Source organism: Homo sapiens, chromosome 12 (genome assembly GCF_000001405.40).
Source record: "Homo sapiens chromosome 12, GRCh38.p14 Primary Assembly".
Classification (NCBI taxonomy): domain Eukaryota; kingdom Metazoa; phylum Chordata; class Mammalia; order Primates; family Hominidae; genus Homo; species Homo sapiens.
Genome location: NC_000012.12, coordinates 9,974,770 through 9,989,323, shown reverse-complemented (window position 1 = coordinate 9,989,323; position 14,554 = coordinate 9,974,770). Strand labels below are relative to the sequence as shown.

The 14,554-nt window shown below is 36.8% G+C and overlaps 1 protein-coding gene across 16 annotated transcripts in view; it reads right to left on the bottom strand.

Annotated features, from left to right (window-relative positions):
- CLEC12A (C-type lectin domain family 12 member A) overlaps window positions 1–14,554 on the bottom strand; it is a 54,883-nt gene that overhangs the window by 16,827 nt on the left and 23,502 nt on the right. For 5 of the 16 annotated variants that reach the window (NM_001207010.2, XM_011520570.1, XM_006719033.4 and 2 more), the window contains 5 exons: window positions 10,260–10,358; window positions 9,800–9,988; window positions 8,591–8,742; window positions 7,195–7,304; window positions 3,729–4,454 (listed from right to left, as the gene is read on the bottom strand). In NM_001207010.2, the coding sequence (NP_001193939.1) occupies window positions 4,298–4,454; window positions 7,195–7,304; window positions 8,591–8,742; window positions 9,800–9,988; window positions 10,260–10,358 (707 nt within the window). In that variant the 3' untranslated portion in view covers window positions 3,729–4,297. Of the gene's footprint in view, window positions 1–3,728; window positions 4,455–5,070; window positions 5,795–7,194; window positions 7,305–8,590; window positions 8,743–9,799; window positions 9,989–10,259; window positions 10,359–14,554 lie in introns of those variants that run through there. The other 11 variants (XM_047428399.1, XM_047428400.1, XM_006719035.4 and 8 more) reach the window with 3 other exon arrangements.

Below are 14,554 nucleotides of genomic sequence, written 5' to 3'. Positions count from 1 at the left end.
GGTTAGTTACATATTTATACATGTGCCATGTTGGTGTGCTGCACCCATTAACTCGTCATTTAACATTAGGTGTATCTCCTAATGCTATCCCTCCCCCCTCCCCCCATCCCACAACAGGCCCCGGTGTGTGATGTTCCCCTTCCTGTGTCCAGGTGTTCTCATTGTTCAATTCCCACCTATGAGTGAGAACATGCGGTGTTTGGTTTTTTGTCCTTGCAATACTTTGCTGAGAATGATGGTTTCCAGCTTCATCCATGTCCCTACAAAGGACATGAACTCATCCTTTTTTATGGCTGCATAGTATTCCATGGTGTATATGTGCCACATTTTCTTAATCCAGTCTATCACTGTTGGACATTCGGGTTGGTTCCAAGTCTTTGCTATTGTGAATAGTGCTGCAATAAACATACATGTGCATGTGTCTTTATAGCAACATGTTTTATAATCCTTTGGGTATATACCCAGCAATGGGATGGCTGGGTCAAATGGTATTTCTAGTTCTAGATCCCTGAGGAATCGCCACACTGACTTCCATAATGGTTGAACTAGTTTACGTCCCACCAACAGTGTAAAAGTGTTCCTATTTCTCCACATCCTCTCCAGCACCTGTTGTCTCCTGACTTTTTAATGATCACCATTCTAACTGGTGTGGGATGGTATCTCATTGTGGTTTTGATTTGCATTTCTCTGATGGCCAGTGATGATGAGCACTTTTACATGTGTCTTTTGGCTGCATAAATGTCTTCTTTTGAGAAGTGTCTGTTCATATCCTTTGCCCACTTTTTGATGGGGTTGTTTGTTTTTTCTTGTAAATTTGTTTGAGTTCTTCGTAGATTCTGGATATTAGCCCTTTGTCAGATGAGTAGATTGCAAAAACTTTCTCCCATTTTGTAGGTTGCCTGTACACTCTGATGGTAGTTTCTTTTGCTGTGCAGAAGCTCTTGAGTTTAATTAGATCCCATTTGTCAATTTTGGCTTTTGATGCCATTGCTTTTGGTGTTTTAGACATGAAGTCCTTGCCCATGCCTGTGTCCTGAATGGTAATGCCTAGGTTTTCTTCTAGGATTTTTATGGTTTTAGGTCTAACATGAGAACAGTATAGGGGAACCACCCTCATGATTTAATTATCTCCCACCAGGTCCCCTCCTGCATCATGTTGAATTATGGGAGCTACAATTCAAGATTAGATTTGGGTGGAGACACAGCCAAACCATATCACTCCATCCCTGGACCTCCCAAATCTCATGTCCTCACATTTCAAAATCAATCATGTCTTCCCAAAAGTCCCCCAAAGTCTTAACTCATTTTAGCATTAACTCAACAGTCCACAGCCCAAAAAATACAAAAATTAGCCAGGTGTGATGGTGGGCACCTGTAATCCCAGCTAGTTGGTAGGCTGAGGCAGGAGAATCACTTGAACCAAGGAGGCGGAGGTTGCAGTGAGCCAAGATCATGCCACTGCACTCCAGCCTGGGTGACAAGAGCGAGACTCTGTCTCAAAAAAAAATAAATAAATAAAAGAAAGAAAGAAAAGGTAAAATGATCTGGGGCTAAAAACAAAACAAAACAAAAAAACAAACAAAAACATACAGGTTAACAGAATTATAAAATTTAAGATGTTTAAACAAACTTTATGGAAGGTAGTTGTAAGCCCTTTACCTAAATGTCATGTGAAAATGGGTACTATATCTGACTGGGAGATGTTTCCCCTTTCTAGTACTATAAAGCTGAAGGCATAAAAATCTGCTCTTTTAGTAAATGTTAATTGAACATGCTGAATGGGAACTAGTAAAATTGCCTCAGCCCACAAAGTATTGGGTAGAAGCTAGAGCGCTAGTCAGGACAAATCCTCCATTTCATTTGTGGCATTTGTGGCACATTTATTGGGGCTGATGGCAAAAAACTGTAAATATTTCCCAATGACAATATTGAACAGAGAATTTCCACCTGAGAGCCATGTACTGCCTTGCTATGGAATTTTAACTGAAGCCACCCCTATGCTAATAAAAATGATGGTGCCCAAAAGAGTTCCATAAAAAAATAAAAATGATTTACATAGAATCTTGCTACCTGGGGATATTAGGAGAAAATACTGATAAGTAGGGGGCCTCTTTCCTAGATTCTACCATGCCTGATAGACAGCTTTCATGAGCTGTTGGCTTGTAAATGGCATTTCCCAAATAAACATTGTTTGAAAGCTCTGGCTCTGGTTAAAGCAGGGTCAACAAAATCTTTTTCTTTTGAGTTATTTGAGTGAAGTATGTTTTTGTAAGCAAATTTATATTTCTCTTTGAGTTCTAAAATTTGGATTGTGATTTTATGACAGTATAGTCATTTGCATAAATTCAAAAAGCATCTTTTAAAATAAAAGAATTTGAGACACTGGTTATTTTACTAAGACTTTAACTAAAATAGCATATTTTTAGGTAAAGTTCAGTCAAGGTCAACTTAAAGAAGCCTATATGGCCAATCAATTCTTGCTGCATTTTAAATTAATTAATTAATTTTTTTTGGAGATGGAATCTTGCTCTGTCACCCAGGCTGGAGTGCAGTGGTGCAATCTCACCTCACTGGCACCTTTGCCTCCCGGGTTCAAGCGATTCTCCTGCCTCAGCCTCCCGAGTAGCTGGGACTGTAGGCGTGTGTCACCACGCCTGGCTGATTTTTGTATTTTTAGTAGAAATGGGATTTCACCATGTTAGCCAGTCTGGTCTTGAACTCCTGACCTCAGGCAATCCACCTGCCTTGGCCTCCCAACGTGCTGGGATTACAGGCATAAGCCACCATACCCAACCCTTGCTGCCTTTTATGCAAAATTACCAGGCCAAGTATAATAAGCCGAAAACTTATTTTGCACACAAATTGGTCTTGCTATAATTTCTCTTTAATAGAAAAAAAGGGGGGGGGGGATAAAGGAATTGCTTCAAAGGAAAACATTTAATACTCAATTTCAGTCCTAATCTTTTTTTTTTTTTTTTTCAGTGGAGACTGAAACATCATTTTTTGGCTATGGTAATCCACTAGCAAGTACCAGATTATAATTTTTCTTCGTATTTTTAGTTGGTACCCTAATGGAATAGGTTCCTTTTTCTGTTCTGACGCACAAATTGCTCTTTTAATGATCAAACTGTAAATGTTATTTATCTCTTCTTGTTTTACTTCCAGGAAAACCCAAATCATGATATTTTGAAGATCAGAGATGTGGCTCTCCGTCATTTTGGCATCCCACTGGGCCGGGATCTGTATTTCACTGAGAATGCTCTGCTGCACAAACTATACAAGCCCCCTTCCCTCTAGGCCCAGCTACTGTCACAGAAGAGGAGGGGGCAGAAGATTGTAAGGGCTGGTTTTAAAGAAAAAAATTAGGTCAAGGTCAAACCTCCAAATCAAGGAGGGGTTACAAAAATGCCTAAACAGCTGGTAAAACAAGTTTAGTTGCTTTCTAAACGATTATGTGTCACTTTTGCATCTACCCCAACCATGAAAATTTATTTGCTTATTATAGAATTACAGGAAAATATTTACTAACAGGATAAAAAATACCTTGTAACAAAGCCTCTTGGGTATAATACTCCCAGTTATGAGTTATGGAGATAAACATATCTATCTATATATTTTTTTTCAGAACAATGCTTATGTTTGCATAGCTAATTGCTGTATGTCTTTAACAAAAGCCAAGCTTACAGTAGCTCAACACACAGAAGTTAAAAATAAGTCAGTCTCGTAACTTGCCTTTTCGTTTTTGTTTATTGGCTTTTACTTAAAATAATAATTTTAAGAGGTAATAAATGCATGTCCATATCCATTCTTACCTGGCCTAGAACAATCAATTGGCTATAAGTCCTTTGACTCATAAGGCCTTCAGCCATAGGGAGTCCCATGGAAGTATAGGATGGACCCGAGATGGGGAGCCATGCCACCCTAGCAACGCTGTGGGACAAAATTAAAATTTGCTGGTTTTTGATGTTGCCTCTGGCAAATCTTGGCCAGAAGGGGAAGAACGTAAATGAAAATGAAAATTCGAAGGCCCCCCACAACTATCTGAATGGACTTCCTCTTCCTCCAGGGTTCAGGCCATGATGGAAAGTGGGAGGTGGGACATGCTTCATTATACCTCTCTGGCATTAACATTCACAGTCTATTCTCTCTGAAGCTTGCTACCTGGATGTTTCATCTGCATGATAAAATCCCAGGTCTTCAGACAAACTCAACTAATTGTCAACCAGAAAATATTTAAATTTACCTATAGCCTAGAACCCCCACCCCCTACACTCCTTAAATGTATTTGATTGATGCCTCATGCCTCCCTAAAATATGTAGAACCAAGCTGCACTGGATTGGCCATCTTCTCACATATCATTCTTTTTTTATAAGTGCAGTGATAATATTGAACATATAGTCTATTTATATATCCACAATACATGTTATTTAAGTCAGGTGCGTTTCTTATAACCCTGAAAGAGAAAGTAAAGAATTACACTTGGCAAGTCAGATATTTGAAACATATTCACAGAAAAAAAAATTACACTTCCAACATGATATTATTGCCCTAGACTCTGTGTTGTTTAAACTAAATCTAATTTAATGTTCAGAGTATCAAGAATGTCCGAGTTAATTGTTTATGTTAACACATATGCAATGTCAAATACTGCTTCATTTCTCCCTGCTTTTTCCACTTTCTAACATCTGATATTTGCTGTCCTTTGCTTACAGAGTTAGCACCCCAGCCCCTTCATATATAATATAATTTGGAATAATACCATTCCATAAGATTCTCCTAGTCTAACTGGCTAGGAGTAGTAAGACTTGGACCCTTTCTCCCTCAAGTGCTTTTTATAATCATCAAAGTCAGGAATTCACCTGAGATATATGACACCTGAAGTTCAACATCATCTCTAAGTGACACTTGGCAAAAGATTTTACTCTGAAGTTCTAATGACCAGCCCATAAATACTAGATTAGTGATCAGGGACTATGCACTAAAAACAAATTTATAAATTAAAAATATTACCTTTTAGATTAATTTAGCATCAATACTTGGGTAAAAAAATAATGATATCAACCAGTAAATAAGTTCATCAATTAAATGTTTAAGAATGAGATTTATTTGTGGTGACATAGTACAGATGTCATTTATTACAACCCCCTTTCAGAAACAAACCCCAAAACAACACAGAGTTATAAAGTGAAGATATATATACACACACACACACATATATATATCATACATACAATTATTATATACTTTTTCAGTTTTCTTTTTGATAACTGAAAATATCTACAATGTTTTCCATTCCATTATAGATTACCATTCCATTTGCAATAATTACAAACACATACATATTCTACGTTTGCAAAACAAGATTCCATCTGTACTCTCTCCTGACACACACATTACCTTTGTCTCTAGTCTTTCACTACAAATTAGGCCTTTGAAATATATATCCTTCTCCACTCCATTTGTAGATAGCTTATCTCCCATTGTATCCTATCATTGCCAACCATCAGAGGTAGGGCCACCTTTTCTTTCTGACCCACACTCCTACACTTACTATTTCTATGTGAAAGAAAAAGCAAACAAACAAAACAAAACAAAAAATTCTATTTGCCATTATGGCCCAATGTGATGAGTATGCAGGGATCTGAGTGCCTAAACTCGCTGTGGTGGCACCTCAACACAGTTGACTCAGAGCTGTCTCCTGCTAAAAGTATATACTAAAAACGTGTTAAATGATGGACTTCCAATAGTGTCCAGCAGGTTGAGACTCTGGTTTCTTTCTTCGTTTGATATTTTCTGCTTCCCAAATTTCAGAGATTAAAAAATACAAATGGAATTTGCCACTATTTTTATATGTAAAGACTTTTTTTCCCATTATAAGCAGAACAAATACAACGTATAAATCCACTTAAAATAGTATATTTATAACCACATTCCTCATTATACTACACAACAAATTATTTTATCTATACTATATATGTGATATATTAAGCTGAAGTTTATATTCTTTCACCTGAAGTGCTCTTCTAAACCAGTCTTTAAATTTTTCATTCAAAAATGCCCATTTCAGAATGGAAGTTAGTGTAAACTCTATGGCAATTTTTCAAAGAACTAAAAATAGAATTACCATTTGATCCAGCAATTCCACTATTGGGTATCTAACCAAAGGGAAAGGAATTATTATATTAAAAAAAAGACACCTACACTTAAATGTTTGTTGTAGAACTATTTACAATAGCAAAGTCATGGAACTGTCCTAAGTGTCCATCAACGGATTATTGCATAAGAAAACATGAAACCATGCTTTCTTTTAGAGTGTATACACCATGAAATACTACTCAAGTATAAAAAAGAAGGAAATCATGACTTTGCAGCAAAATGGATGGAGCTGGAGACCATTCTCTTAAATGAAATAACTCAGGAACGTAAATTTAAATACTGCATATTCTCACTTAAGTGGGAGCTAAATAATATGTACACATGCACATAAAAAGTGGAATAATAGACATTGGAGACTCCAAAAAGTAGGAGGGTGGGAAGAAAATAAAGAATGAGAAATTACCTGTTGGGTACAGTGTACACTATCCAGGTTATGGTTACACTGAAAACACTGACTTCATCATTATGCAATATATTTATATAACAAAATTGCAATCGTACCCCCTAAATCCATAAACTTTTTAAAATGCCCATTTGAAGTGTCATTTATAACAAAAGTATCATTGCAAAAATTTATGTTTTGTTAGTCTGTGTATTCTTACTGAAGCATTTATCACACTATATTCTCTTTATCTCTAGCATAATTCAATCAGTCTGCACATAAAATTGATGGTTAAGTAACTTTAATGATGAATCAATATTTCATTCATCTTTGAACCCTAGAACTTATCACAATATTAAGTACTTGTTAGTCCAATGACTTTTCTGGGCTTCCACAATTTTTCTTAGATAAAATTATTTACAGAGTTCTCCATAATTTGGCTGCTGTAATTTTGTTAGTTACTTGTCAAAATTATGAGAAGGCATTTATGGTAACTTTATGTATTAGAAAATACATCAAAGAAGCATGATAGAAAAGGGTTCTTTTAGCATGCAATTTCAATTGAAGCTGGTTTTAATTTGAATCTACAGTGCTCCTAAGGAAAATACCTCTACTCAAACCCAGCTATAAAATTCTAACAAGAATAGACACTTACCAGGCAGAGGAGTTGATTATATTATCCACTCTCATACCACGAGTGGAATCTTCTTCAGGAGATAATCCCAGCCAATAGTCATATGATCTACTCTGGGATTTTATAAATTCCTACAGGAAATACAGATAGTCTGTTTAAGAAACAGTCTCCTACTTTTGTATTTTACATTATAATGTAATTTCTTACAAATTGCTGTTTTAAGGTAACATACTGGACATTGCACTACTACTATTAAATGTCATTATAAGAAATTGAAAGAAAGTACTCCTTACTACAAAATTTCAATATTTTTAACAATATCATTGCTGGTCTCACAAGAAGAGAGGCCCTACTAATCCATGTACAACCTTAATTTACAGTCAGTGAAGAGTTCACAATGACAAGTTCAAGATTAAAAAATTTGAGCAGTAAATATTGTGTCCAGGGCCAAAGGAGGTGGGTAATGGCTATAAACAAGAGTTAATAGAAACAGAAAGAGTAGGAAAAAAATGCCACACACTCAGATGTGAGTGGTTACAGAACAGAATTCAGAACCAGTCCAGAATTTTGTAGCCAAATAACAGGTTTTTTTCTTATTCTAGCCTTTAAAAATTTTTTCTAGAGTAAGTAACTGTGAATGGGTCACTTGACAATGATCTGATGAGGAAGAGATTGTGGGTTGATTTATCTCTCTTCTATAAAGGATGATGAAAGTTTCTTATTGTGGGGAAGCAGAGAATTTTAGAAAAGGTAATTTTGCTTAAAAATATATGATTGCTATGTGAGAGACCAAAAATGCTATGTAATAAGTGTAACATGGAAACATTATTTAGACATGGAAAACTAAGAAAATGAATAAATCAATAAAGCTACCAGAAAACACATTTTTCCTGGGATTCAAGGACTCAGTACAATATATCTGACACTTGCCTGTGCCATCTTACTTCAGTTCTTCTTGTTTGTACATATTTTATGCTAACCTACTATAACTTGCCTATTTCTCTTAGTGAATTAAAAAATACAAAATGGTAGAAACAAAACATATTCTCCCATGTAGTTCTTATGGAATTGCTAATCCTGGGGAATAATCTCTGTATCCTCTGTTTTTAGATAAATGTTTATAAATTAAGTTCTGAGATTTGGTTCTAGATTCTAATTTGGAAATGCTTACAGACCTATAGATTCTGGGTGCCCTGTAATACTCATCTACCTGTCAGCTAGTAATATTTCTCTTATGCTAAGGTCCTAAACTTGTATGTTTTACCTTGCCTATGATATCTTGAGATAAGTGTACAAAGTTTCAGTCACTTCACACCCCAACTGAAATAAACCAGAATCATGAGTGGGTTGATTGAAGTCTTCTCCAACATGCCACACCCCTCTCTATCCCATGATGGTAGAAACACCTGGGCTTTACCAATGCATTTTTGTTGTTTATCTTCAACAGGCTGGCATTCTGAGCAGCACAGGCCATTTTACTCTCCTGCCATGTTTGGACATCATCACTTAGGAAATAACAGCTGTCCTTATGCCAAATCCATCTCCTTGGACAAGGCTTACATTTGTGCTCTGGAAGAAGAACATAGTTTTATTTGGGTTTTGTTGATAGTCATAATAATTCTTATTATTTCCTTTCCTCTCTGTGTGACATTGATCACATTTGCTGTTTATTCTTCTTTCTTTTTCTTTCTCTCTTTCCCCCTTTTTTTTTTTTTGACAGAGTCTTGCTCTATTGCCCAAACTGGAGAGCAGTGGCGTGATCTCAGCTCACAGCAGCCTCCACCTCCTGGATTCAAGTGACTCTCCTGCCTCAGCCACCCAAGTAGCTGGGATTACATGCCGTTTCTTTTTTTTTTACATCGAAGGGGAAGTAAGTGAATCCTGTATTCTAGTTCCTTATATACCACCATAATGTGTCAGACACATAACTTGAACAAAAAAATTTCAAATTAAGCACTTGGATTCAAGTGTGTCTTCCTATGTCAATTCCTCTTTGTTATTTTGTATATTCTTTAAAGACAATAAAAACTAATTACTGGAAACATTCTGTATAGTAAGAATTAACCCCACCTATCTATACCAATCTTATCTTCTTTAATTTTTGTTCTCTGAAATGTTGAAACTTTGAGGTTTCTCAGGAGCAAAAGGAATATGTTTTAGCAACTATGACTATAGAAACTTATGGAGACACTAAAAGACCAACTCCCCGATCCCAAAGGTGAAGTCTCAATTTATTTTTTTCTATGGACTTTGTTATCAATCACTGACTGAAATTTAAGAATGAAGTCACCTGTAAAGAGGTGTCACTTCCTCCCTGTCTTCTATTAACCTCAGTGCCCAGAATAATTATAGTAAGTGACAGATTAGAGAAACTGTCTTGTCTAACATTTTATTATGTAACCATTATCTCCTGATAATTTGGGGGCCTATTGTTGTTACTACTTTTTCTGTTTTTCTTCTAACTGCGTGGAAATATCAATGAATTCTCCATCAACCACATGTAATTCTTTCCCCCAAATTATGACTCCCTAGAGAAAGGCTGCTAGCTAATTATAAAATGATTCTTAAGAGACTCAGTGGTTTAGTTTATTGTCCAATAAATAACTCCAAGAGAATACAAGATTACCTTGTTCTTTGCTATATAGCTCACGACATAATTTGGTGGCTATTGTTTGCAGTGTGGTGGAGAGGTTCCTGATCTTGTTGGAGATATTCATGTTACTCATCAGTTGTAGAGAAATATTTCTCTGGAGCTCTTCACTGATGTTTTGTAGTTTGTTCATTTTTTTCATTTCTATCTTCAAAGTTACGTGAACTCCACATTAAAAAAATGACAAAAAATTGTAAATTCTCAATAGAGCCATCATCCTTTATCATTTGCAGAAGTAGTATAAAGATTAAAGGGGTAGGGAAAGCAATTACTCTACAGGAGTGAGGGAAAGAGACTAAGTTCCACATTGTAAGTCCTCCTTGTGGGCCTATCACCTATCATTATTATAAATCTTCCACTGAAGGAATAAACTTTTGTTGCTAAATATTTGAAATTCTAGATACTTCCTCTTGACAAAAACAGGGGCAGTACATACACATGCTTGCCAAGACTCCCAATCCAATGAGCAACAGAAGGCACAGAAGAGTCAGAAACAAGGCTGCTGGACGCCATACATGAGAGGGAGCTGGAGGTGCTGTGGAAAGCAAAATTAACAGAGAGGCCTAAAAATGGTATAACTTTCATTTGGATTATTTACTCATTCATTCATTCATTCATTTTACCTTTATTTCCTAATATGCCTATTGGAAAGAAATGGATTTGCTAGCCATTCAAGAATATTCAAAAAATATTTTTGAAGAATATGTCAAGAATAAATCAAAATCACTTAATTGTTTTGTATGTAAATTGATTCTGGCAGGAGAAGCTGTTAACTGGTAGACTGATTTAAAAAAACAGATAAGCAAAAACAGAATTTATAATAGAGAATGGAGAAAACCAGTCAACCTAGATATAGTGTATTTTGTTTGTACAAATTTGGGAAAAGTGAGTAGCTGGAAATTAACAGAGAAGCCAATAGGAGAAGTCTTTGCTTGAGTAGACAATTGTGGCATGTCAAGAAAAACAGTTTCAGTTGTTTATGTATCCCCCCAGGCAATTATGAGAATTTAGCTGCAGAATGAACAAGATAGGCTGTCTTTTCATAATGTCTTTGGGTGTCCTCCCGTTAGCTTTTGATCTTAATCAGTCCAGATCTACACCATTTTTATTGCAATTTTTCAAAAAAATTTTCATGTGTTTTTGCAAGAAACTTTTATTGAATACTTCCTTTTTAATGAATAGTGAAGCCCAGAATAGATCATTTCTCTATTTAAAAAAAAAACAGGAATTATAAACTTTGTGAGTGAATTATTATTGTGACTATGTTATTTAAATCATCATTATGTATAAAGCTATTATACATTAGGTAAAGACTAGCTAGATATTTCAAGAAAATCCAATTCAGGGATACCATAATAATCTCACTATACTTCTGAGCTATGTCTTACATCTCATAGTTGATGGTGCAATAATATTGTGAAATCCAGAGACAATTACTAATAAATAGTAAAACTTAACTTATATAGACTTTAGAAAATAGTTACTACTGAAAGAACTACATGTTCAAGATTTTATCTAAGATTAGAATTATAAATGCCAGTGCTATCTTTCTTAAAATTATTTTCTTATTTATATGTGTATTCAATTATTCAAGTTTATTTATTCAATGAACTTATTCAATTATTAAAAAGTTCAATTATTCAAAAGTTATCTTTTGAGTGCCTTGTATTTATTAGACATTATCCTGGGTGCTAACAATATCAAAGTGAGCAAGATGTACAAGTTCCTGTTTTCACAGCTATAAATTTTAATTGTAGGAGGAAATAGATAAATAGATATATAAGTGAGACAGGGAGAAAGAAAGAAAGGGAGAAAAGATCTCAAATTTGGCGATGTTGTGCAGAGATTTAAAACTAAGCTGTTATAGAGAGCAGGCAGTTCAAATCTTATGAATAGGAACCAGCATGCAAAATAAGTAGGAAGAACATTACAGGTAGCAATTACATGAAGTTCAAAGACAATAATTTAAGGAAAAGATTTCTATTTGAAAAACAGAATATATTCAGAGGGGCAGAAGAATTGTGGCCAATGTGAAAAATGATGTTAAAGGTTTTATTTGTTTTCTTTTGTTTTGTTTTTAAAATAACAAGGAGGAGACATTATTTACAGCCTTTTCTAGCCAGAATAAGTTAGATTTTTGGGGAAACCACTGGAAGAATTTAATCTAGGAGGGCAAAATAACAGAGTTGTTTTATCAGTAAGAAATCTGTTACAGTATGACATGTGAAAGAGAACAGAAGTTTGACTAGCTAGTACTAGGGAATTTGATGACCCATGGATAAATTAAGTATACATTTCTAAGCTAAAATCTATTGCAAAAATTTCTGAAATTTTTCTTTAGAGAAAGTTGGTAGATATGCACATTTGTAGGCAGTATCTCATAGTGATAAAAAGCAAAACACCATCTTTAGGGTTAGCATGTGTATTAGTCCATTTTCACATTGCTAATAAGACATACCCAAGACTGGGCAATTTATAAGGAAAGAGAGGTTTAATGGATTCACAGTTTCACGCGGCTGGGGAGGCCTCACAATCATGGTGGAAGGTGAAAGGCACACCTCATATGGCAGCAGACAAGAGAAGAAAGAACTTGTGCAGGGAAACTCCCCTTTATAAAACCATCAGATCTCATGACACTTATTCACTATCACAGGAACAGCACGAGAAACACCCCTACCATATGATTCAATTACCTCCCACGAGGTCCCTCCAACAACACGTGGAAATTGTGGGAGCTATAATTCAAGATGAGATTTGGGTGTGGACACAGCCAAACCATATCATTCCACCCTGACCTCTCCCAAATCTCATGTCTCACATTTCAAAACCAATCATGCCTTCCCAACAGTCCCCAAAAGACTTAACTCATTTCATCATTAACTCAAAAGTCCACAGTCCATCTGAGACAAGGCAAGTCCCTTCCACCTATGAGCCAGTAAATTCAAAAGAAAGTTAGTTACTTCCTAGATACAATGAGAGTACAGGCATTGGATAAATACGGTCATTCCAAATGGGAGAAATTGGCCAAAACAAAGGGGCTACAGGCCCCATGCAAGTCCAAAGGGCACCAAATCTTAAAGCTCCAAAATCATCTCCTTTGGCTCTATATCTCACATCCAGGTCATGCTGATGCAAGAGGTAGGCTCCCATGTCTTTGGGCAGCTCTGCTCCTGTGGCTTTGCAAGGTACAGTCTCCCTCATGGCTGCTTTCATGGGCTGATATTGAGTGTCTGCAGCTTTTCCAAGTGGACAGTGCATGCTGTCAGTGGATCTACCATTCTGAGAGCTGGAGGACGGTGGTCCACTTCTCACTGCTCCACTGGACAGTACCCCAGTGGGGACTCTGTGTGGAGCTTCTGACCTCACATTTCCCTTCTGCACTGTCCTAGCAGAGGTTATCCATGAGCACCCCATGCCTGCAGCAAACTTCTGCCTGGACATCCAGGCATTTCCATACATCCTCTGAAATCTAGACAGAGGTTCCCAAAACCCAACTCTTGACTTCTGTGCACTCAAAGGCTCAACACCACATGGAAGCTACCAAGGCTTGGGGTTTGCACCCTCTCCGAAGCCATGACCTGAGCTGTACCTTAGCCTCTTTTAGTCATGGCTGGAGCAGCTGGGATGCAGGGCACCAAGTTCCTAGACTGCACACAGCAGAGGGACCCTGGGCTCAGTCCATAATACCATTTATTCCTCCTAGGCCTCTGGGCATGTGATGGGAGGGGCTGCTGGGAAGACCTCTGATATGCCCTGGAGTCATTTTCCCCATTGCCTTGGCGATTATCATTTGGCTTCCCATGACTTTAGAAATTTCTTCAGCTGGCTTGAATTTCTCCTCAGAAAATGGGATTTTCTTTTATTTATCATTGTCAAGCCACAAATTTTCTGAACTTTTATGCTCTGCTTCCCTTATAAAACTGAATGCTTTTAACAGCACCCGAGTCACGTCTTTAATGCTTTGCTGCTTAGAAATTTCTTCTGCCAGATATCCTAAATCATCCCTCTCAAGTTCAATGTTCCACAAATTTCTAGGGCAGGAGCAAAATGCTACCAGTCACTTTGCTAAAACATAACAAGAGTCACCTTTGCTCCCGTTCCCAACAAATTCCTCATCTCCATCTGAGACCACCTCAGCCTTATCACCATTTTTGTCAAAGCCATTCAAGAAGTCTCTAGGAAGTGCCAAACTGTCCCACATTTTTCTGTCTTCTTCTGAGCCCTCCAAAGTATTCCAACCTCTGCCTGTTGCCCAGTCCCAAAGTCTCTTTCAGATTTTTGGGTATCTTTACAGCAGCGCCCTACTCTATTGGTACCAATTTACTGCATTAGTTCATTTTCACACGACTGATAAAGACATACCCACAACTGGGTAATTTATAAGTAAAAAGAGGTTTAATGGACTCATGGTTCCATGTGGCTGGAGAGGCCTCACACTCATGGTGGAAGGTGAAAGGCACATCTCACATGGCCACAGACAAGAGAGAACTTGTGCAGGAAAACTCCTCTTTATAAAACCATCAGATCTCATGAGACTTATTCACTATCACAAGAACAGCATGGGAAAAACCCGCTCCCATGATTCAATTACCTCCCACCATGTCCCTCCTACAGCATGTGGGACTTATGGGAGCTACAATTCAAGATGAGATTTGGGTGGAGACACAGTCAAACCATATCAGTATGTTTTGGTTTGAATTCTGGTTCTGCTGCTTATTGCTTGTGAAACCT